Source organism: Homo sapiens, chromosome 3, assembly GCF_000001405.40.
Source record: "Homo sapiens chromosome 3, GRCh38.p14 Primary Assembly".
In the NCBI taxonomy this organism is placed as follows: domain Eukaryota; kingdom Metazoa; phylum Chordata; class Mammalia; order Primates; family Hominidae; genus Homo; species Homo sapiens.
The window spans coordinates 65,481,696-65,504,644 of record NC_000003.12 but is presented as its reverse complement, the minus strand read 5'-3'; the positions used below and the strand labels follow the sequence as shown (position 1 = coordinate 65,504,644).

Below are 22,949 nucleotides of genomic sequence, written 5' to 3'. Positions count from 1 at the left end.
GAAGACAGTGTTGATTTATTCAACCCTGGGTGAAGAGCTGTGGAAATTCAGCTGCACCTCGCTCCTCCACTAGTTTATCCTCCCACCCCTCCCCAATGTCTTCTTTGTGTACAGAAGTTCCCACCTAGTAACAAAAACCTGGTTTCAAGTCCTGGTCCTGACACTTACCAGCTGTGTAATTCTTGGCAAGTCACATAATGTGTGCATGTTTTCTCATCTGTGACATAGGATAATAATATTAACTACTTTATAGTGTTGTTGCAAGGATTAAATGAGATAATGCATATAAAGAATAGACGTTGGCCTAAATACAGATTTTTTAAATGAACATAATTTTCTAATGCCTTTAATTTGCTGAGGGGTTTGTATCCTTGCACATGAATGTATTTGGTCTCACAATCATTCTGTGATATAGTCAGAGCAGTAGTTACCCTTTTTGTTTTACAGATAAGGACATTGAGTGCATAAAAGGGAATGTTCCAAGGTAGTCACATAATTAATTTAGTGGCAGAGCTGGATCAAGACTGGTTCTTCTTACATCAGCTCCTTGAGCTGCTGTTTTTGTTTATTACTGGGAACCATTTGCTTGCCCTAGACAAACATATACTCTCTTTTTGTATTATATGATTCATTCAACAATCTGGAAGGTTCACATTTTTCTTTGACATAATGTGGATCTCCTTGAAAGGTAACATGTTTACACTTAACTGAGAGCACCTGGCTTCCAGGAAAAGGATACATGGACGGTTTGAATAGTTCCTTTGGAGCTACTTGGATTTGGCACTCAAAACTTCTTCTTTTCCTTCATCCCATGTCATAGCTATAGAGAAAAGAGCTAGAAGTAGGATCATGAAAACCAGATCAGATGCTTCCCATCTCTCATGTCTAGGCCACTTTTGCAAATCATCAGTACAATGGAATAAATGCCAAGTCCTTATTTATTTCAAGTATTGTAGGTGTGGTTTTTAAAACGAGATTCCAATACCTTCATCACACAGTGTTCTTCCATGCAAGATGGAACCTGAAATGGTCTGCTGATCCCAAACATGCAAGTTATAGCTGGAATAAAATAATTGTCTTTACACACCTGCTGTTGAATGGCTTGGCATTATTCCATTTATGAGACACAATTACTGACACTACTGTGTTGAGATCTGGGATAGAAAAAATAAGGGTCCTGTTTCTGACCTTTGTTATCATAGTTGAGAGTTTTGGACAGAGAATGCCCCATTATTCAAAATGGTGCTTCTAGAAAGGATCCATTTATGTTGCCCTGAGTGGCCTTGCTTCCTTGTGAAGTGATTTGTAGATTACCACATATAAAGTGTTAAATAACTCAACAACTTCCCCTGATTCCTGAGGAGGAGGCTGGCCTTCTTTATTCGTGTTTATTTTATAATGTGTTATAGGGATGACAATCAGTCAAGTCTCTTTTAGCTGCTTTCTCATTTACAATGAGGCATCAATTCTGATTAGACACAGACCCAAACTGATTCCAAGTTCTCAGAAGACAAGGATCTTACCTTTTCAACTTTGTTCTGCTGGAGGTACAGCACACCTGGGAGTGGGGAGGGGGCAGTGTATGTGTGTGTGTGTTGCTTAGTGACACTAACAATTTGAGTCACATTTATTCACGTGACCCTTTTGAGTCTACATAGCTGTCTCATCTGGGATTACCTGTATCATGGATTTTTACCCCCTCTCTCCACTGTTCGTTTTCTAACCACTCCCACCCTCCAAAGTAGTATGAGCCATAGATTTTCTTTCAGCCCTTTCCTTGGCACCATGACCACCTTACCCACACACCTTTTCTTTTCACATTGGAATTGTTTCTGCTTCAACGCACCCTTCTGTCTCCCTCTCTCACCTTTGGGTCCCTAATTCCTAATGTAATGGTATTTGGAGGAGGAGCCTTTAGGAGTTAATTAACCAAAGGTCAGATTCTCGTGATGGAATTAATGCCCCATGTAAAAAGGGGAAGGGCTTTCATTTCCTGCCATGTGAAGATACAGCAAAAAGGCAGCTGTCTGAAAATCAAGAAGAGGGTCCTCTCACCAGACAGTTCTTGTTATGTTACCCAGGCTGGATTTGAACTACTGGGTTCAAGCAATCCTCCCACTTCAGCTTCCCTTGTAGCTGGGACTCCAGGTGTGTGTCAAAATGCCTGTCTCAACAATGCTTATTGTTTAAGCCACCCAGTTCATGGTATTCTGTTATAACAGTCCAAACTAACGAAGACAAATCCTTATGCTAAGCAGAAAGTCTCAAATTGACATTAATAGGTATCTAAGATATTTCTAATGTTTGTCAATCCCCTTTTGTGATAATAGGATAATTCAGACCTCGGGCTCAGAGCCTTAGGCTACAGATAAAACAAAATGGCTTTATTTTTGTGGCATTTATTTTTAGTTACTTACTGTTTATGGCAGGATGAAGCTGATTTTCCATTTGAGGTAAAGCTAAATGTTTCCTTTTTTAAAAAATTATACACAGTAAAAATCACCATTCGTGGTGTGCGCTATGGGTTTTGACCAAAGCACAGTCGTGCAACCACCACCGCAGGCAAGAAACAAAACAGTGTCCTCCTCCTTTCCCTAATTACCTGTGCTGCTCCCACCCTACATAGCTGGTAACCACTGCTTGATTCTCCATCTCTATAGAATATATAGAATATAAATGGAGTAATCATACAGTGTGTAATCTTTGAGTCTGGCTTCTCTTTCCCTGAGCATAATGTATGTGAGACTCGTCCATGCTGTGTGTATCTGTAGTTTTGCTGAGCAGTAGTTCTTTGTAGGGATGTGCCACAGTGAATTCATTCACCAATTGAACCACATTTGGTTGTTTTCATAAAGTTTTGGTTGATTATGCATAAAGCTCTTCTAAACATTTCTGTATGGGGTTTTGTGTGAATATGTTTTCATTTCTCTGGGGTAAACATTTAGGAGTGGGATTGTTAGGTCATATGAGAAATTTATGTTTAACTTTTTAACTAACTGCCAAACTCTTTCCCCAAATGGTTGTACCATTTTGTATTCTTCCCAATAAGGCATGTGAGTACTAGTTGCTCCATATTTTTGCCAGCATTTGGTATTACAGAAACATTTTTAAACCATTCTAATAGGTTTGTGGTGGCTAAGTATTTACTTTTTACCCAAATATGTTTAAATTTTTTTTTTTTTTTTTTTTTTGAGACAGAGTCTCGCTATGTTGCCCACACTGGAGTGCAGTGGCACGATCTCAGCTCCCGGGTTCAAGCAGTTCTCTGCCTCAGCCTCCCAAGTAGCTGAGAATACAGGTGCCTGCCACCACTAATTTTTCTATTTTTAGTAGAAATGGGGTTTCACCATCTTGGCCAGACTGGTCTTGAACTCCTGACCTCATGATCCATCCACTTCGGCCTCCCAAAGTGCTGGGATTATAGATATGTGCCACCGCACCTGGCCTGTTTAATTTTTTTTAAAAGCAGTTTCAGAAGGGGTTTTTCATATTAAATAAGATGTCTGTTTCACCACAAAAGGCAGTTTGATTTGAGGGATAGATATCAAGTAAATTGTAGTGCTGATTGTCATATATGGCAAAAATTGTGTGAGAGGTAGGTAACTGAGTGAATTTGGAGGACTAATACATTCTACTGTGCTCTAGCTCTATCAGCTAAAGAATGAACTGCATGAGGCTGTCCTGGATATCCAACTGATACTCTGGATATTTATCAGATGCAAATGATTGTGTTAGAATAGGAAAATGATGATCTGTTCTTAACACGTAAGCAGTTGCAGTGACTGTCATTTTTTGAAGTCTTGTTAGATTTTGACAAGCAGGACCCTGATTAATTTAACAGCAGGTGATATCATGGAATATTGACAATGTAATCTTTGTGGGCTGATTATTTTCCTTTAACAGTCTGGCCATAAGACCATTTGGACAGTTGTTGAGTGAGATCTCAACATCTTGAAACCGCATGGCGTTGGGAAGGTGAAGCAGTGGGAAATGGCTTATCAGAATTTCACCAGTAGGATTTTTCTTTTTCTGCCTCAACTGGATATTTCAAGAGAATGTCTAGAATAAAAAGATAGCGCAGATAAGTTCCCAGTCCAGTTTCCTTTTTGTAGTCATGGTTTGTGGATTTCAGTGATAAGGAAGGTCACTTTCTCATTTCCTCAGCAGGAGTCTCTGAAGCCAGATACACTGCAAGTTTATGAACCATAAAATGTGTGTAAGAAGCAGATAGCCACTCAAGCTTTACTGGATGAAGTTTGGGGGCATTGCTAATTCTTTCTGAGACACTCACTAGGACACAGCTCAAATTAATTACTTAAGTTATTATCTAGTGGTGGGAAGGGTTGATATTCACTATTCTAGTACAAATCTTGGAGGTACTTAAATACTTAAAAAGGACCCTGTTTAAGTGATGAGCAGTTTGGGGTTTAAAAATAAAATCAAGTGGAAAAAATAGTACCACTTTCTCAAATCTACTTGTAGTATATTCCTATTCATCGGTAAGGCAAGTAAAGTATTGTTGACCTTGAGGCTGGCTTTCTATGAGATGGGAAACCTTGAAACATTGTTTGTGTGATTCAGCTGGAGTCTATAAGTCGTTTGCATGTTTTTTTGTGAGGACTAAGTTACTTTTGAAAGTACTTGAATAAAATATCCAAGAATCAGGTCTTAAAATATTTCTTAAATAATGATTTCATTCAGTTTATAAAATGCCAAGACAGTTACCTGCCTATTGATACCATTTGGAGCATGAGAGTTGTTTAAACAATCATTTCATCTCTTCCCATTTCTGAAGCTACCCTCCTGAGGTTACCACTGTTAAGGGTATAGTATTATTATACCCATTTAACTATGTGAACTCATAAAACTCATAAACTTGTAAAACAAGCCATATTCTGTTTTTCAATGAAATGCAGTGATAGTTTACATCTTAATCTGTAATTTGTTTATATCACTTCAGTGCACATTAAAGGCATTCCTTCAGGTAACTGCATGTAGATTTAACCATTCTTTTTTTTTTTTGAGACGGAGTCTCAGTCTGTCGCCCAGGCTGGAGTGCAGTGGCGCAATCTCAGCTCACTGCAACCTCTGCCTCAGCCTCCCAAGTAACTAGGACTACAGTTACCTGCCACCATGCCTGGCTAATTTTTTGTATTTTTAGTAGAGATGGGGTTTCACCGTGTTAGCCAGGATGATCTCGATCTCCTGACCTCGTGATCTGGCCACCTCGGCCTCCCAAAGTGTTGGGATTACAGGCATGAGCCACTGCACCTGGCCAATTTAACCATTCTTTACCATTTACCATTACATAGCTAAAACATTTTCCCAAGGGTGGATCAACCATATTTCATTCAATCATTTCCATATTCGTGGACACTCATTTTTTCTGTGTCTTGGAGGGCTGCTTTTGTTTTGGTCTTTTTTGTTTTGTTTGCTACAAACCATGCTGTCACAAATATCTAAGAACATTTTTTTTTTCCTAGAGACCACAGCCAATAGGAATCAATGGAATTTTTAAAACAAATCGTGGAGTTGACTAGATAGTTTTTCAAAGCATATGAGAGTTTTTTGTTTTTTTTTTTTTAAGAGCGGTTTTCTTCTATCTGTTTGAGATGTCATGCTGTTTCAGGTAAGTATGTTTCTTGTTCTTATTTTGAGTGCTAGAAGTTGTTTGGGACATGGTACTGGATGTAGTGTAATGAAGGCAACTCAGATATTCTCATGGTTGAGAGCTGTACTGACCAGGCCAGTAGCCACTAGCCACATGTGGCTATTCAAACTTAAAGTTATTAAGATTAAATAAAAGTTCACATTCAGTTTCCTAATCACACTGGCCACTTTTTAATAGCTACATGTGGCTAGGGGCTACCAGGATAGACAGCACAGATATGGAACATTTCCATGAAGGACAGGTTCCATCAGACAGTGATGGTTAAGGATGAGGGATGCTGCTGTCACATTGCCTGTGTTCAGACAGACCATGGCTCTGCCCAACTTGTTATGTGACCTTGGGCAGGTTACTTCTCTGAGTCTGAGCTTCTTCATCAATAAAATGAGGGTAATAATAATCCTTACTTCTGTGTTTCTTGTGAAGATTATATACAATAATAGTATTGATTAAGTGCTTAACAGCTTGCTTGGGACATAAGTGAACATCTGAGAAATGGAAGCTATTATTTTTTTCCCAGCGTTATATATTTTTTTTTCTTTTTTGGGGGGTTGGACGCTGTGCTTATTATTAGCTTAAAGCTAATAACTGCAAGATATCGTTGGCCCAATTTCTAGCTAGAAAAAGAGAAGGCAGTATTGTAGGCTAAGGAAAATCCCAGTTTGTCAGCCTGGTCGCTTTTTTTTTTCTTTTTTTTTATATTAGTACGCTGTCCCTGAGAAACATGGTAGAATTTGTTTGACTCGTCTTCTGTCAGGAAGTAACCCTTCTGGCTTTGTTAGAAGCATGGTTTATAATAATTGTACCCAACCCAGATGGCTCCTGAAAACCCTTTGAAATGCCATCTGCCAGGCGTGTGTCCAGCCAGCAGCCTGCCATTCTGCTACAAGAAAAGAGAAGGCGGGGTCCCCTCCCTCGGTCCTTTTCTCCACAACATCGGTGAATAGAGCCTGGTCAGGTTGGCCCAGACCCAGGGCGGGCTGCTCAGAGGATAGCTGGGAAACCTCCTGCTAGCCTGAGCATGGAAAGGTTTTGTCTGGGTAATAAACCCTGAACGTTTTGTGGGTGGAGACTTGCCCGCCTTCCCACTCCCTTCCCATGCTGCTCTAAGGCATCCTAAGCATATTTATTTACATGGAAAAATGGGATCTGCTAGTTTCATGTTTCTGCTGAAATGTAGCATTTTTGACGTTCTTGATTATTTTGAATCCTCTCAGGAAATTAAGACCCCAGGGTGATTGTTGTCTTTAAGGTAAACCTGACAAATTGGATCTGAAAACATCATTGAAAGAATGGCAAAGATGGCTGCAGGAGAAAAAAATCAACATTGTCTAGTTTGGCAAGACTATGAAACTCAACAGATTTTTTGTTTTGTTTTATTTTGTCCTCATTTTTTTTCAAGATGGATTAAGTTAATGGAACTTTGGTATGGAGGCTGAAGATGAGAGTTGCCATATAGAACATATTTAGGACAGATCCTTTCACAGCAAGTTTCAAAGAGATTCTATTCTTGCACTGCACTGGAATTCCCAGTGTGATGTAGACTGTTTGTGTTTTAGAGGTAGCTGGCTGAACAGCTTTTTCACTTGGCTCCAAGACATCACACCCTCCTCCTTTGCTCCTATCTTGCTGGCTACTGCTGCTTAGTCTCCTTTGACGATCTTTCTCTTATTCTCATCTTCGAAAAGTTAAAAGTTCTTAGTGTTCAATCCAAACTTCTTGGCTTTTTTTCCCCTAAACTCTCTCTGTAGATTTTATCTTTCTGTCTCTTGCCTTCAAATGCCATTGGTTTACTAATCAACTGATCACTCTTAATATTATTATTAAGTTTACATTCCACCCTCTACTCTGACCTTCAGACTTTTAAGGTCAGCTGTGCTCCAACTCTCTGCTCGTAGGTGTCTGTTAGGCATTTCAAACCTAACATGTCCAAAAGTGAACTTTTGATTTTCCCTTTTCCCAAAACCTTTCCCCTCAGCCTTCTCAATCTCTGCAAATGGCACAGCCCATTTGCCCAGGTCACAAAATAGGTATTTCTGTCTTTATTCTGTCTTTCTTACATACAACATCCAATCCATCAGCAAGTTCTATTAGTTCTGTCTTCAAAATATAGACCTAGCATGGTGTGATGAGCTGACATACTTTTTAAAATTTATTTTTATTTTAAGTGCTAGGATACTTACCTATGACATGCAGGTTTGTTACATAGGTAAACATGTGCCATGGTGGTTTGCTGCACCTGATCTTTGTATTAAGCCCCACATGCATTAGCTATTTATCCTGGTGCATCTCCATCCCCCTGATGCTCTCTGTCCTCCATTGGTGGGTGGCATGGAGAGCATCAGGATAAATAGCTAATGCATGTGGCGCTTAATACCTTGATGATGGGTTTTACTTTTAATATGTCTGTTCTATGGACTATGCTGTAGCTCTTTAAAATACTCATGTTTGTAATAGAAATCTCACTGCTTCTTATCACTTCTGTCCTATTCTAGTCCATATCTTGATTACCATTCACCTGGACACTATGGTAACCACCCAACTGGTCCCCCTGCTTCTATTCTTGCCCACCTCCTGCCCTACTCTCCGAAAACTTGTTCTCCTTGAAGTCAAAGAGCTTTAAAAAGGAAAACCAAGCTGAGTGTGGTGGCTTATGCCTGTAATCCAAGTAATTTGGAGGCCAAGGTAGGAGGACTGCTTGAAGCCAGGAGTTAGAGACCAGCCTGGGCAATATAGTGAGACCCCCCATTTGTACAAAAAAAAAAAAATTAGCTGGGTGTGGTGGCACGTGCCTGTAGTCCTAACTACTCAGGAGGCTGAGGTGAGAGGATCTCTTGAGCCCAGTAGTTCAAGGAGATAGTGAGCTGTGATTCCTCCAGTGCACTCCAGCCTGAGCGATAGAGCGAGACTCTGTCTCTGAAAAGGAAAATAAAAGAAAAACCAAATCAACGCACCCCCTTGCTCAAAACCATTCTAAGGATGACATTCCATTATCCTTAGAATAAAATATGAAGTGTTTTCTATGGCCTACGTAATCTTGCCGCTTGCTTTCGTTTCCAGCCCTTTTTTCATCACTGTACCGCAACCATGCTGGCCTTTCTGCCCTTCCCTGAACACACCAGATCACACCCGTATCAAAGCCTTTTCCCTTCCCTCTGCCTGGATGCATTCCCCATCACCTTTTCTATTAGCCAGGCTCTTCCTCATCACCTAGCTAATATAGCTTCCCTACTTCTCCCTTGCTCCCTCCCTCCAAGACACTGTCTAAACCTTTAACCTATGTTGCTCTGAGATACTTTCTAATCTTTCAGTCTGTAGAAGAATGATTTCCTCCTGATATTATATGCTATATTTATTTATATACATATTTGTTTTCTGTGTCTCACAGTAACATATAAATTCCATCAGGGCATGAGCTTTGTCTTGTTCACCAGTGTTTTCCCAGTGCCTGGCATGTGTTGGGGCCTCAGTAAATATTTGTTGAATAAATACAATATATAATGCCATGAATACACACACATATACATAAACAGAGATATATTTATATGTATATAATAACAGATTATTATACTGGGATTTGAACGGTAAGATTCTATCAATTCATTCTAACAAAAACATAAACTATAATGTCTACTAAAAATTATTGAGCAAAGCCCTCAAAAAGGATTATCTCATTCAATACACACAACAAACTTATGGATTAGGTGCTATTATTATCCCTATTTTGCAAACAAGGATACTGAGAAATAGACACTAAGGAACCTGTCCAAGACCACAGGTTGGAGAGGCAGACCATGAACCTAGGATTCCCACTCCAGACCACTGTTCTTTAACAGTATATGATACTGTCTCTATGTTTCCTGTGCCTGACACTTGAGATGTAAATTTAAAAGTTGTGAACTACCTCAAGGGATTTGTCATCACCTGCCAGGGGAGGCACGAAACGGGAACAAATTAGGAAACAGTGTAAGAGTAGACTTTTTAACCTGAAGGTTCTAGCATGCTGATTATGAGAAGCAAACATCTATACTATAACCATCCTATGCCCAATTTGCAGCTATTTAAAATATTCAGATTTCAGATAGAAGAATTATGTGCACTAAAAATACATTTTGCCTGAGTAAAGTGTGTACTAAGTGTTGAGTGTTTTTGACTTATGAAAATTGTGAATATCCAGTGTAGGTGTGGATGCGGTTATTCACATGGGCAGATGATCAGAGACTGCACAGTGCTAAGAACTTCAGCGCCACTAGGCACATATAGTCGGTTATTTAATTGCATTACATTTCAACGAAGAGATCCTAGACATAGGGAAATATCGTTGCTTATTATATAGGAAAACGTTGACCTTAAATCACCACCGCAGGTAATAATGCCTTGCTAAATGAGCTCTGTTGAATGTAACAGCAGAAGTCACATTTTTTGCTCTTTTTTTTCGTCTCATAATATTTAACATAGGCTCCTAATACAGGGTACATAATTGCTGTTTGGTTTATTTTCCTTTCTTGACTTATGTGTAAACCACATTCTGCTCATTGCTTCCACTTTGTTGACTGAGATTGGGCTAAAATGATAAATCCATAGCCCAGCACCTGAGCTGGATGACTTTTTTACTCTGGATGCTCTGCCTTATTTCATAAGAGGAAGCGTTACATTTGTTAGCCACTGAGAAGATGACCAGATTAATGCAGGGGGAGAATTTTCTAGCAAATGCAGCGTCCTTTCTCCCTAGTCAGAATTCATGGACGGCCTCTTTTTGCCCAACATATTAATTACATGAGGAGCAGCAGCATTTTAATCCCTGGGAGATGTCCAACCACAGATCTCAGGCAATCATATTTCTCTGGTGATGTGTTTATGCAGCAGGTGTCATTTTCTTTAAAGGGCTTTGGAACTTGCCGGTTGTATTGAGGAATACGAGAATCTCAAGGCCTGTGATAAAAACACAAACCCCTTAGGCTCTGAGCTTAAGGTGGATACGTTTTTAGTATTTACTGGAGTCGTAAAAGCTGCTGACTGTGAATGTTGTCTGTATAAAATCCAGTTCACCTTTTTTATTCAGTGCATTATCAAAAATGGTATAAAACTCTCTCTAGGTTACCCAGCGGTGCTTGGTTTTCTCTCTCTCCCATTTGGGGTCCCAGGCACTAGAGTGTGGAAATGAGAATGCTGTTGTGTTGTATTAGAAAGAAGTTGCCTTTACTGTGTCCCTGTCTGGACAGATGAGGCAGCAGAGTCTTAGGTACGCCCTCTTACTGAACAGGTTATTTTAATTACACCTGGATGTGGAACTTCCTGTTTTAGTTGATTGATGGTTTGTTGTGCCTTTGTATTTTCTGCTACAGGCACAACCCGATCTCCCAGAGAAGGAGAAGTGCCTGGCGTGGACTATAACTTTCTGACTGTGAAGGAGTTCTTGGACCTCGAGCAGAGTGGGACTCTTCTGGAAGTCGGCACCTATGAAGGTGAGTTACTTGTACGACAGCATAAAAAGCTTCTCTCCTGGGTACTTGAGAGGAGCCAGAGCCATCCAGGCAAAAATGTTTTGTGGAATCTGGAGGTCTAAACAAATAACAGGAGATTTCAGTTCACCTTAATATGACGAATAATAGACAAAGTCTATGGAATAAGGCTTTGTGGAGTTCTTTAAAAATAGTTTTAGTTTTTCTCTAGGAGTTTTCTTTTTTAATTTACCTATTCAAGTATGTGGGTGTGTTTTGTTTTTAATACGGACATGTGCGGTATTAGGAGAGAAGGAAGAATCATGGTTAATCACAAAATGTGATCCTATAAGTAGTGTTGTTTTAATCTTGAAGAAATAAAATATCACTTTCCTACTGATTGGTTTTTAATGTATTTTTATGTGATTCATAAAGCAAACTTTTTTTTTTTTTTTTTTGAGACGGAGTCTCGCTCTGTCGCCCAGGCTGGAGTGCAGTGGCGCGATCTTGGCTCACTGTAAGCTCTGCCTCCTGGGTTCATGCCATTCTCCTGCGTCAGCCTCCCGAGTAGCTGGGATTACAGGCGCCTGCCACCATGCCCGGCTAATTTTTTGTATTTTTAGTAGAGACAGGGTTTCACCGTGTTAGCCAGGATCGTCTCGATCTCCTGACCTCGTGATCCGCCCGCCTTGGCCTCCCAAAGTGCTGGGATTACAGGAAAGCAAATTATTTTAAAAATATTTAGCTAAGTAATCTTCATATACCTGTCTCCCACCTGCCTGATTTAGGATTCAATATTATAAATAATCTGATTACCTTCTGAAGTTTATGTCAATACAGACATGCGTGTGCACATGCGTATGTACATGTGTGCATGCCTGTTGTATGGATATTCCCATTTCTTCCCAGTTTTCCCCAAAAGGTAGTATATAGTACATGCTGTTTGGACCTTGCTCTTTTTGTTTAACAGTATGTCTTAATAGGTCATTGCAATTCAGTAATAAAGCACTTCTGGTTTTCTTCTTTTTGAAATATAATTATAAAAATTATAATTCCTTTGTATGGGCATACCGTAATTTATTTAACCACTTCCCTCTGAACAAATATTTGAGTCAGTTTCAATGTTTCATATTTCTAAACACTGCTGAGTCGAATGACATGGATGTATCATTTCATACAGGTGCAAACATATCCATAGGATCAGATCCCATTGCTGGGTCAAAGCCAAATGTGGTGGAAAAAAGTCACATTTTTCTGAAAACAGTATTATAGCTTGATTACTTTTTGGAGTGTTATTATTATTTGAGGCAGAAGTGGTGTAATGATACTATTAACTAGGACAGATTATTAACTTGGTCAAGTTATTATGTGTATCTCTTTACAAACTCTTTAAAATTTGGATTTATTAGGCATTCACGGGGCATTTTAAAGATTAGACTTAAACATAAAGGGTAAATACAAAGTAGATTATTATTTTATTAGGGACATTATAGCTTTAATGTGATAATTGCTTCTGTTACAGTGACTAACACTCATATCATGATCATGAATCTTAGAGATGGCTGTTTCTGGTTTGATGTTCTTTGGAGAAGACGGGAAGGAGCATTGTCTTTGTACATACTGCTCCTTTCCAAATTGTGAATATACAGTAGACAGTGTATATTAATCAAATTCCTGCTCATGAATCAGGAATTTTTGTTTGTTTGTTTTTGAGTGTTGCTAATTATCAGTTGGCTTAGTTTCCTGAAACTACATGTTGGGATGTGACTGGGTGGCTGGTGGGCTGGGCAGGGGTCTGAGAGTAATCGAGGTCTAGGAGTGTATAGAGGGAAGGGAGGGGGGCTGCGGGAAGGTACAAGGAGCTTCTTCAACATGTTGTCAGCATGCTGTCCTCACATGTTGTACATGTGAAGAGGAGAGCATGTGTGACTCCTCTTTGGTTAGCAGAGAGAGAAATGTCCTCATCTGCAATCAGTTATTATGCCCATCTGGGGGGCTTCAGTCGTCAAATATATAAAACATCTATTTGCATTTTTGGAGAGGCTGGGGTGGGAGTGGTTGTACAAAGCAAAAGAGGATTGGGTCGGAAAGGAAAAACTTGTGATTTAGACTCCAATTTAACTTGGAAGATGGAAAGTAAACTCACTTTATTCGATGTTAATGGAACAAATGATATATAGGTGGAGTCAGTTCTTTTTCTCATTTAATTTTATCATTGCAACAGAGGCGGCTATTATCTTCACTGAATTTTTAGATGGGGACACTGAAGCCAAGTGGTATTAAATAACTATTTCAGAGTTGCACAGCCAGTTCTAGAATGCTAGAGAAGGAACCAAACCCAGCTCAGTGTGACTCTCAGATCCTACACTCTTTCCTAAAAACCCGAAGAATATCCTAGATATAACTAAGAAGCTAAGGAAAATAACCCATTAGTACTTGAAGCTAACTTCCTGGTGTATAGCAGTAGAGGAATGGTTTTCAGAAAATGTCTGATTGTCTTGTAGAAAACGGTGCCTTTGTGAATGTTGCATAGTTATTTTGGAATTGGAATTTTCTTAGGCACAGGACTAATCTTTTCCAGTTCTAACCCATTTGTACAGCGTTCTTCAGCCTTTGGCCTATTAGCAGCGAAATTTCCTTACCATATGAGAGGGCTCATAATTTTTCTTTCTTTTTTCTTTTTTTTTTTTTTGAGACAGAGTCTCGCTCTGTCGCCCAGGCTGGAGTGCAGTGGCGCAGTCTCAGCTCACTGCACCCTCCCCCTCCCATGTTCAAGCGATTCTCCTGCCTCAGCCTCCTGAGTAGCTGGAACTACAGGTGCATGCCACTGTGCCCGGCTAAGTTTTTATATTTTAGTAGAGACAGGGTTTCACCGTGTTGGCCAGGATGGTCTCGATCTCATGACTTCGTGATCCGCCTGCATCGACCTCCCATAGTACTGGGATTACAGGCGTGAGCCACCGAGCCTGGCCGAGATGGCTCATAAGTTTTTGGAACTGACCAGAGTATATTATATTGACTCTTAAAAGCTGAGAGCCAAATGGAATGTTTATTAAATGCCATATACCCTCATCGGAGTAGGGCTGGAAAGACATTTAGAGAACTTCCACTGTCTTTGCCTCCCCTGGACAAGTCCCCTGATGGTGGCTGCTGTCTATTGGTGGACACTAACAAGCATGCAAGCCCTGCTGTCACACTGCCTGAGTTTGATTCTCAGCCCCTTTGCTATTGAGCTGTGTGCCCTCCGGCAAGTTGCTTAATGCTGCATGTCTCCATTTTCCCATTGGTAAAATGAGGATAATAATAGTGCTTCCTCAGAGGTAGGGCTAAATGAGACAATAATTGGAAAGGGCTTAGCAGAGTGTCTGACACATGTAAGCTCTCCTTCAGCATTAGCTTTTGTATTTACACGCACCTAGTTCAAAATTGCTCCTGTAGTGGATCCCTTTCCCCTCTACTAGTCAGTAAACCAGCAGATTTGCCAGTAAAATGTCTTTATTTACTTCCCAGGTACTCACCATCTTTTTTCCCCTCCTGAAATTGCTTTCTCCAGACCTCTGCTGGTTCCAGAGAGGAAAAGTCTACCACAACAACACAAAGCACTCTTTAAAGGAAGACATATATAAATGTTTAAGTAACAGTAATAAGTGTACATGATGGAATAGTTCCTACAGCAAAAGCCTTAAAACTAGCTAAGTCCTACTTGTTTCCCCTCTTCCATATAGGTAACCACTATTAAAGATGCTAGTGCAAATATTCAGAAAACTTATATGTACACAACATATATGTATATCTCGTTTACTTCACTCTGTTATTGCCGTTTGCCCTTAACATACCCTGGAGATCTTTCCACATTACCGCATACAGTTTCACCTCATTCTTTATAAATGCTGCATAGTGTCCCAGTGAATGAGTATATATATATCTCTACATCTATCTATGTATCTATCTGTCTATCTGTATATAAATATATAACTTATTTAACCAGCCCCCTGCAGATGGACATTTTAAATGTCCCCTGCCTCACCTCCCCCTTCTGTTTTTGGTGGTCGTGTTATAAACAGTGCTTCAAGTATATTGTTACGCAATTATGAGCATAACTATAGGGTAAGTTTCTGGCAGCACAGTTTTAAAGCAAGCCTTTTAATGCATATATAGTTTATTTCAACAAATATTTATTGAGTATTTATTTCAGGTCAGACTTTTTTTGTGAGGCAAGGGATATGATGTACAGGGCAGTAGACCAAAACTACCTGACTTTGAAGGTGCTTATGTTTTTTAATTAATTATTTTTGCTAGGGCTTGTGTGGCACATAGTAGGTGCTCTTCAAAGTGCATTATATGCACAAATTCATTTAATCTTCCTAACAAGCCTATGAGGTAGGTTCTATTTATGTCCATTTTACAGAAGAGGAGTATGAGGCCCAGAAATGCCAGTAATCTCTTCTTAGTTCACATGGTAAATCAAAGATAGAGCTGGGATTCAGATTCAGGCACTCTGGCCACAGAGTCTACACTCTTCCCACACTCAGTCTTGTGAGGCAGATTAAACATAAACAATTTTGCTGGGCGTGGTGGCGGATACCTGTAATCCCAGCACTTTGGGAGGCTGAGGTGGGAGGATTGCTTGAGCTCAGGAGCTCGCGACCAGCCTGGGCAACATGGCAAAACCCCATCTCTATAAAAAAATACAAAAATGAGCTGGGCACGGTGGCGTGCACCTGTAATCCCAGCTACTCGGGAAGCTGAGGTGGGAGAATCCCCTGATCCTGGGAAGTTCGAGGCTGCAGTGAGCCAAGATCACACCACTGCACTCCAGCCTGGGCAACAGGAGCAAGACTCTGTGTAATATATGAATGAATGAATGTAAACAATTTTAAGAAAAGTGATGAGTAGGCCGGGTGTAGTGGCTCATGCCTATAATCCCAGCACTTTGGGAGGCCAAGGCAGGCGGATCATTTTAGGTCAGGAATTCGACACAAGCCTGGCCAACATGGTAAAATCCCCTCTGTACCAAAAAAAAATATAAAAATTAGCTGGGCTTGGTGGTGCATGCCTATAGTCCCAGCTACTTGGGAGGCTGAGGTGGGAGAATCACTTGAACCCAAGAGGCAGATGTTGCAGTGAGCTGAGATTGTGCCACTGCACTCCAGCCTGGGTGACAAAGTGAGACCCTGTCTCAAAAAACAAAAAAAAAAGAAAAAAAGTTATGAGTGTTTTGAGAGAAACTACACAGCGCTCCAGAAGCTTATAGAAAGCTTCATCTAGTTTTGGCAGACTCCCTAGAGGAGGCGAAGCTATGAGAGGACTGTGTTAGGTCAGGTGAGAGGCTGGGAGATGGTGTTTGAATTTAGTAATCAGCATGGGCCATGGGGCCTGAATCCACAGAGAACGATGTGATGATGAACCAAGAGAGGATTAGAAGGATGGCTTCTAGAAAGGGAGGGGAAGCAAGCACACCCTGTTTCCCTTAGAACCACTGCTATCCTGTAAGAACTTCCTTCCATGCTGGGAATGTTCAGTATTCTGTACTGTCCATTATGGCAGCCAGTGGTTCTTGTGATTGAGAAACCAAGTTTTAAATTAACTTTAATTCAACATAAACTCATTTAAATTTAAGTAGCCACACATGGCTGGTGGCTTCAGTTTTAGAATAAAAGCTTCTGAAAGGAAGGTTGAGGACCTGCTCAACAAGATCTCTGTCCTCACCAGCTGACTTCACAAAGCAAAGCAGGTCTTAAGAGTTAAGCTCCTTTAAAAAAGAATCATCGTGTTGAATCTTCCCAAAGAGGATGTTATGCAGAGGAGTGGTGATCTTCTTTTGTGGATACATTCTATGACAGGCAAGATGGCAGACAAATAGAGTGAACCAGTGAAGCCTCAAGGCCCAGTAACCTTCAGAATTCTCTTTCAGGCCCAATATTTGCTTGATTTACATTGGTCGGTTGTAGGACTTTACAGCTGGAAATGCAGTAAAGTTAGTTTCTTCAGATGATAGAACTGAAATCCAGAGAGAGCTTGCTTTAAGATACTTCAGGGAGTTAGGGACATAGCCTGGCCAAATGTTGCAGGACTGGGATGCTTTTATTTCCCTTTGCCTGAAAAGTAATGCTTCTTTTGTAGCCTCAGTTACTAGTTTGTGAGTTCATTCATTTATTCATTAAAGATAAAATGCTGAACAAAAGCAGATATGGTTGTGGTCACTGTCTTTATGGGTCTTAAATGTCTAGTGAACAAGACACTTTATTTAAATAAACGAATATCCAATTGTAAGTGTGCGAAGGTCTTTAAAGGAGACCATAAGACAGGGAGAGTGGATGTCTGTGGAATCAAGAAAAAGTACCTCTGTAGAAGTAGTAATTGAAGTGAGATCTGATGGTTGAGCTGGAGTTAGGTTGCTGGATTTAGCAAATAAAAACGCGGAACACCCTGTCTTGCATTTCATCTGGCAACCACAGTTGGAGTTGGCTTTGAACCACGTTGGTGATGGTGGTGGTAAATAGTCAGCTGAATCTGGAGATATTTATGTGAAAAGCTGAATTTGTTAATGTATTGGTTATTGTGAGAACGAGGTAGAAAAGACAGATGATGACAATCCTCCTAAGATAACTCCTAGTTTCTGTCTTCTATTACTGGATAGATAGTGGTACCATTTGTGAAAATAAAAAATACTATAATTGGGGTAGGTTTGCCGGGCAGGGACTCCATCCTGAAACTTTCTATCCACCGACAGCTGTAATGCTGAGAGTAGCATTATACTCCCAACAGAGTAGAGCCCCTTCCTGGCGATGTAAAGAATCTGATTATCATCCCTCACAAGGCATAGAAGTTATTAGTAGAGTTTGTCATTGATCTCTGCTTTACAATTTGAACCAGCTCCTCATTCTGTCACTGAACAGAATTGGCATCAAAGCAAGGTAAAGAAGACAAGAATAAGCACATCTTTCCAACTTGGCCCAACTTCCTAATTGTGGCACTGAGCTTATTTATTTGATATGGTGCTTAAAATAAATCAGCTGAACCATTTCCCTTTTCCCTTGCTTTTCTTTTTTTTTCTGTTGACATTTTTGCTCTGCAAGACAGGTCACTGCCTCAGCCAGCCCTTGGGACTTCTCTAGGAGAGAGTTTACAAGGGATGAACTATTCAGTGGAGGGTGGGGATCCAGACATGGCTGTTTTACAAATGCCTCTGGGTAGAAGAGGCTGATTATACACTTTGAGCATTGCAAAGGTTTTCCTTCAGCATAGAAGTGCAGTGCCAGGGTGACATTTCAAATTGGAGTTATGGGTTGCATATTTCTGCATGTTAATTAGGAAGAGGATGTCAGCATTCAATAATGTTATTGTTTTGCTTCCTAGAAGGTCTGCAAAAAGGCAGCTGCCAATGGTATAATTTTTGGGGACACAGAGATAAAATAGGGGTGAAGAGAGTTCTTGTTTCTGGTTAAAGAAAGCGAGACTGTCTAGAGTCCTGTTCTTTGGCAGGCCTTAGAAGCAGTCTGTTGTGATGAGCTCTGTTGGCAAACTCTGTCGTAGAATGTTCTCTGTTGATAATGAAAGTGACCAAATGAAATCTGTGCTATAATTGGCTGTTCTTCTGCTTATGAAGATGGGGGGAGCTGGCGAAGTTTTCTTTAATTCCCTGCTTAGAGATCCCCAAATATTCCTGGAGTTAAAAGTGTAGATGTCAGAGACAGACTAATCTGTATTTAAATGCCAGTCATCATCTTTGACTTGTGTAAATATCAGTTTCTTTATGTGAAAATGGGAATATTGATGCCTTTTTTTCTCTAAGATTGTTTATAAAGATTAGAGTAAGTGAATATATGCGTAGTGACACTTAATATGTGCACGATAAAGGTAACTTTAAAAAATGTTGTTCTTTGAATATGTGTTGTGATAATACACTCTTTTACACATTAACCCTATTATCTATCTACAACATCAGGCCTGATTGGAGACTGGCAGAGTTGATTATAGGCTAACATTGTGTCAAGCACAGTGCTGGGTGCTTTATACACATTATCTAATTTAATCTTGACAAAAACCTATTAGGTTGCCATGATTTTTGTCTTTATACTGTGTGAACTGAGGCTGAAGAGAGAGAGGTCCCTTACCTCACTCAGGGTCGTAAAACTCTTATGTTCTCCTGTTTGGTCTTGTATTAGAAACCAAATGGCACTGGCAAGAACAAACTGCTAATTATAGAACAGTGGTTTATTGTCCTTCTGTGCATGAACATCCTATTTTTGTAGGGTGGGGCAGGTAGGAAAAGGAAGAGTAAAAAGAAAGTATTGCAGTTTTATGAAGGAACTATCATGTGCTGAGCAAGCAAGTAGCAAAGTGAAGTGATGCAGATCTTGGTAATTCAAATGTAATTGACCGACTGGAAAGAAAGTGTTGTGAGTCATGCTATTAAAAACTGGATCCACAATACAGGTTTTTAGGAGGATCCCAGGCTGGAATTCATGTGCACTATCTGCCTTTATTCATTTACTCATTCTGCAGTGAATTACCGGGTAATGGTATGTGCCTGGCACTGCGTCAGGCCTGAGAACACAGTGGTACACAAAATCAGATGTGGCTCCTGGCCTCTTTGAGTTTATAGTCTAGAGGTGAAGACAGGTACTGATTAATTAAACAGTCTGCTATATACAATAAAGGGCATTAGGAAGGGGAGGTATGTGGTTCCTTGAGAACATATAAGAACTGATAAGGACAGCTTTGATCTAGTCTGTGGGGTCAGAGATACTGTTGCTGAGGATGAGCAGGTAGTAACAGGGTGAGGAGCAGAGGGAGGAGTGGGTGCAAGAGCTGTGAGATGGGGGAAGGGGGCACAGTTTACATGCTGGGGGCTGAAAGGCAACCAGTGAGGTCAGAGTGAAAAGAACAAGGTGAAGGCAATCAGGACAAGTGCTTGGAGAGTGGGCATGGGGCAGACCACTCAGGACCGTGAGGCCAAGGCAAAATCAGATATGCTGGATGTCCATGTATTCATGTACTCTATACATATTTGCACTATACATAAAGAGAGTAAGGTTTTTGTACCTCTCTCCCCCTCAAAAAAGAAAACAATTTTTGCCCCCTTGGGGGTGATATTGCCCCGTTGAAAATGCATGCTGTAGATTCCCAGCCATAGGTGGTCACTACCATCCTGTTCTCAGGCTTATTTGCAAAAGCTTGTCTCATAGGAAGAAGACAGACAAGTACCCCCAATTCCCACCCCCATTTACCTTGGACCAGCCATGTAACTCCATGGCAGGCGTTTCTGCCACTTTGGGCCTTTATGTTTGTCATCTGCAAAAGAGGAATGATTTTCTCTGTCCCAAATGGCTTTGCTACACAAACAGTGTGATCCATGGATCTCAGGCCCACCCTGATCATTACTTAATGTAATTTAATTGTTTGCACATTGAAGCTTGACAAAACTGATGTATGCCATATAGAATGGTTGTGAAGATCGTGTTTCAGTCCAATTTTTACTTTGTATTTCCCATGCCTGGCATTAAAAAGGTTTTCTGTAAGGAAATGAATGAATGAATAGTAAATTTGTATAATTTGAAAGCCATATAGATTTGATTCATCCTAGCTTAAATTCCAGGGTTACAATCCTCCTTAAATATTTTATAAAGCCCTAAAAATTGATTTGCAGTGCCTATTAATTTTTAAATGTGTGTCAGAAAAATATTTTCTTTGGCTTTGTCCTGGCCAGAGATTTTGCTTGTTAATTAAGGCCAGCAGTGGCTTCCTCTTAAGTCCTCCTTTGCCCTCCGCTTTCCTCCCTGGCTACCCTCCCTGTTGAGATTTGTTGTAGAACCAGTTCTGAAAATAGCAGCAGAGAGAACAAGTTTCCACTTGGGAGGGAGCCCAGCCACTGCAGGAAACGTGTGTTGGATAACGCAGAGCCTGTGGGATAATCAGCCTCACGGCTCCTAGACACTGTGCAGCCTGCCAAGTGATAGCCCCAATTAAGTTTTTAATCACTTACAATTTTTCAGATGATTTTTATTTAATACTGTTAAGTCGCGCATACTGTCTGTAAGGTTTGTGTTTCTACATGGCTAGACTTTGTAAGGTTTGTGTTTCTGCTGTGGCTAGACTTTGCTTGATTGTGATGAGAGTGCAAACCATTGCAAAGGTGGAATACTTTCTGGAAGGTTAGAGTCATGAACTCAAATGCCTGAGGGGCCAGACAGGTCAGGTAAGAGGGTGCATAGAGGCAAAGAAGACCACTGGTGACTGTGGCAAACTGGAGCAAGCATGACCCATCCTGCCCATTGCTGCACGGTAAGGGCAGTTCACAGCAGAATAAGAGAGCCAGAGTTGAAATAAGACAGCCAGAGTTTTTGTCCAAAAGCCCAGGGCCGAAAGCAAGCTCTCCAAAAATCAATTCACTCAAAGGCTAATCTGTGAATTATTGAAGACTTTTTGAAGTTTAAGGTTTTTTTACATCTACTCATGCCTCTGCTCATGCCCCTGTATCTGCCTATGCCCTTGCATTGCAGCAGCCTGAGGGCACTGTTCTAGATGGGGTCCAAGATCTTTGTCTGTCAAGGGTCAGGCAAAACCAAGAGGAGGAGCAAAAATTTCTCTGCAGAAATCCTTGATTTAGTATGTTCATGTGAATTGGCTTTAGACACATACTTGCTTTTCAACATCCTCTATAAGAGATGGAGTCCCTGGAACCAGACTTTACAGTTTGTCAAACAGCATTGAGAATCCAGACTTAACTAGAAGCTTTCTAATTTTAAATGTTGGTCACTAATCCAAATTATTTTGAAACAGTGGCGTATGAAAGTTTGAACACTCTGCAGTTAGAAAACCACTAGACAGAATCTTTTCTGTAAAGGTTGTAGGTTTCAGTACGGGAAATAAGAAATAGTGGAGAGATTTGGATAATTATAACACTATCTCATATTTAACACCTTATAGTTTACAGAGTACCTTTGAAAACTCTGCATTAGTTAATTTTCACAATAATCCTATGAGGTTGCTACAGCTGGTGCTACCATTCCCATTTCACAGAGAAAGTACTAGAGAGACTGAGTGTTAGAAGACTTGGTTATTTGGTTATTGACAGGTTTGCTTGCTTAGTGCTCAGTTACCATGTGCAGCACTTTGCATACATGATCTCTTTGATCCTCAAAACAATGTAGTATGGGTGTCATTTTAAAGACTGAAAACATGTGATAGCAACTTTAGGTAGCATTTATCTACCCTCACCATAGTGGCAGACTTCAGCATAGGTTAAAGGCAGACCGTCTCATTTTGTCTTCCTAACAGCTATTCTAGGTGTAAACTAGGTTCTCTTAGAATCCCAAGTTAAAGGCGGACAAAGACTGGCCCAGAGTCACACAGCCAGTTAGTTAGTAGTGGGCTTTCAACTCTGAGCTGTCTCTTCCAAGCCTTTTACCCCATGATATGGTGTGCCAAGGCTCTGCAGTATTGCTCATGGGCCACTCATTAGATTAAAGCCAGTGAAATTGCTTATGTTTGACAGTTTATATCTTCTACAACAGCAATTTCATATGGTTCAATCTAATATTATCTACTTTATCTGCCTCCATTCAATGTTAAACTAATTTTCAGAAACAGGAAACCATTGTGAACAAGTGGATTGTTTTGGGTTGTTTGTAATTGCATTAACAAATCTGCTAATCATTTATTAACTTAAGAAAGATTTTGAACTTGAAAAGTGAGGGTAGGTACCTAATGGAAAATCCACACATATTTGTCAAAGTTAAGTGGAACTTTTATTTTCCAAGCACTTATTATTTCTGCCATAAATGCAGATGTTGAAGTTTTCATTGATTTTAAATGATTAATAATTTTATGAATGC

At 40.2% G+C, this 22,949-nt stretch overlaps 1 protein-coding gene across 6 annotated transcripts in view; it reads left to right on the top strand.

Moving 5' to 3' along the window:
• MAGI1 (membrane associated guanylate kinase, WW and PDZ domain containing 1) overlaps nt 1-22,949 on the top strand; it is a 685,393-nt gene that overhangs the window by 534,274 nt on the left and 128,170 nt on the right. For all 6 annotated transcript variants that reach the window (NM_001033057.2, NM_015520.2, NM_001365904.2 and 3 more), the window contains exon 3: nt 11,014-11,133. In NM_001033057.2, coding sequence (NP_001028229.1) covers nt 11,014-11,133 — 120 coding nt within the window. The remainder of the gene's footprint in view (nt 1-11,013; nt 11,134-22,949) is intronic.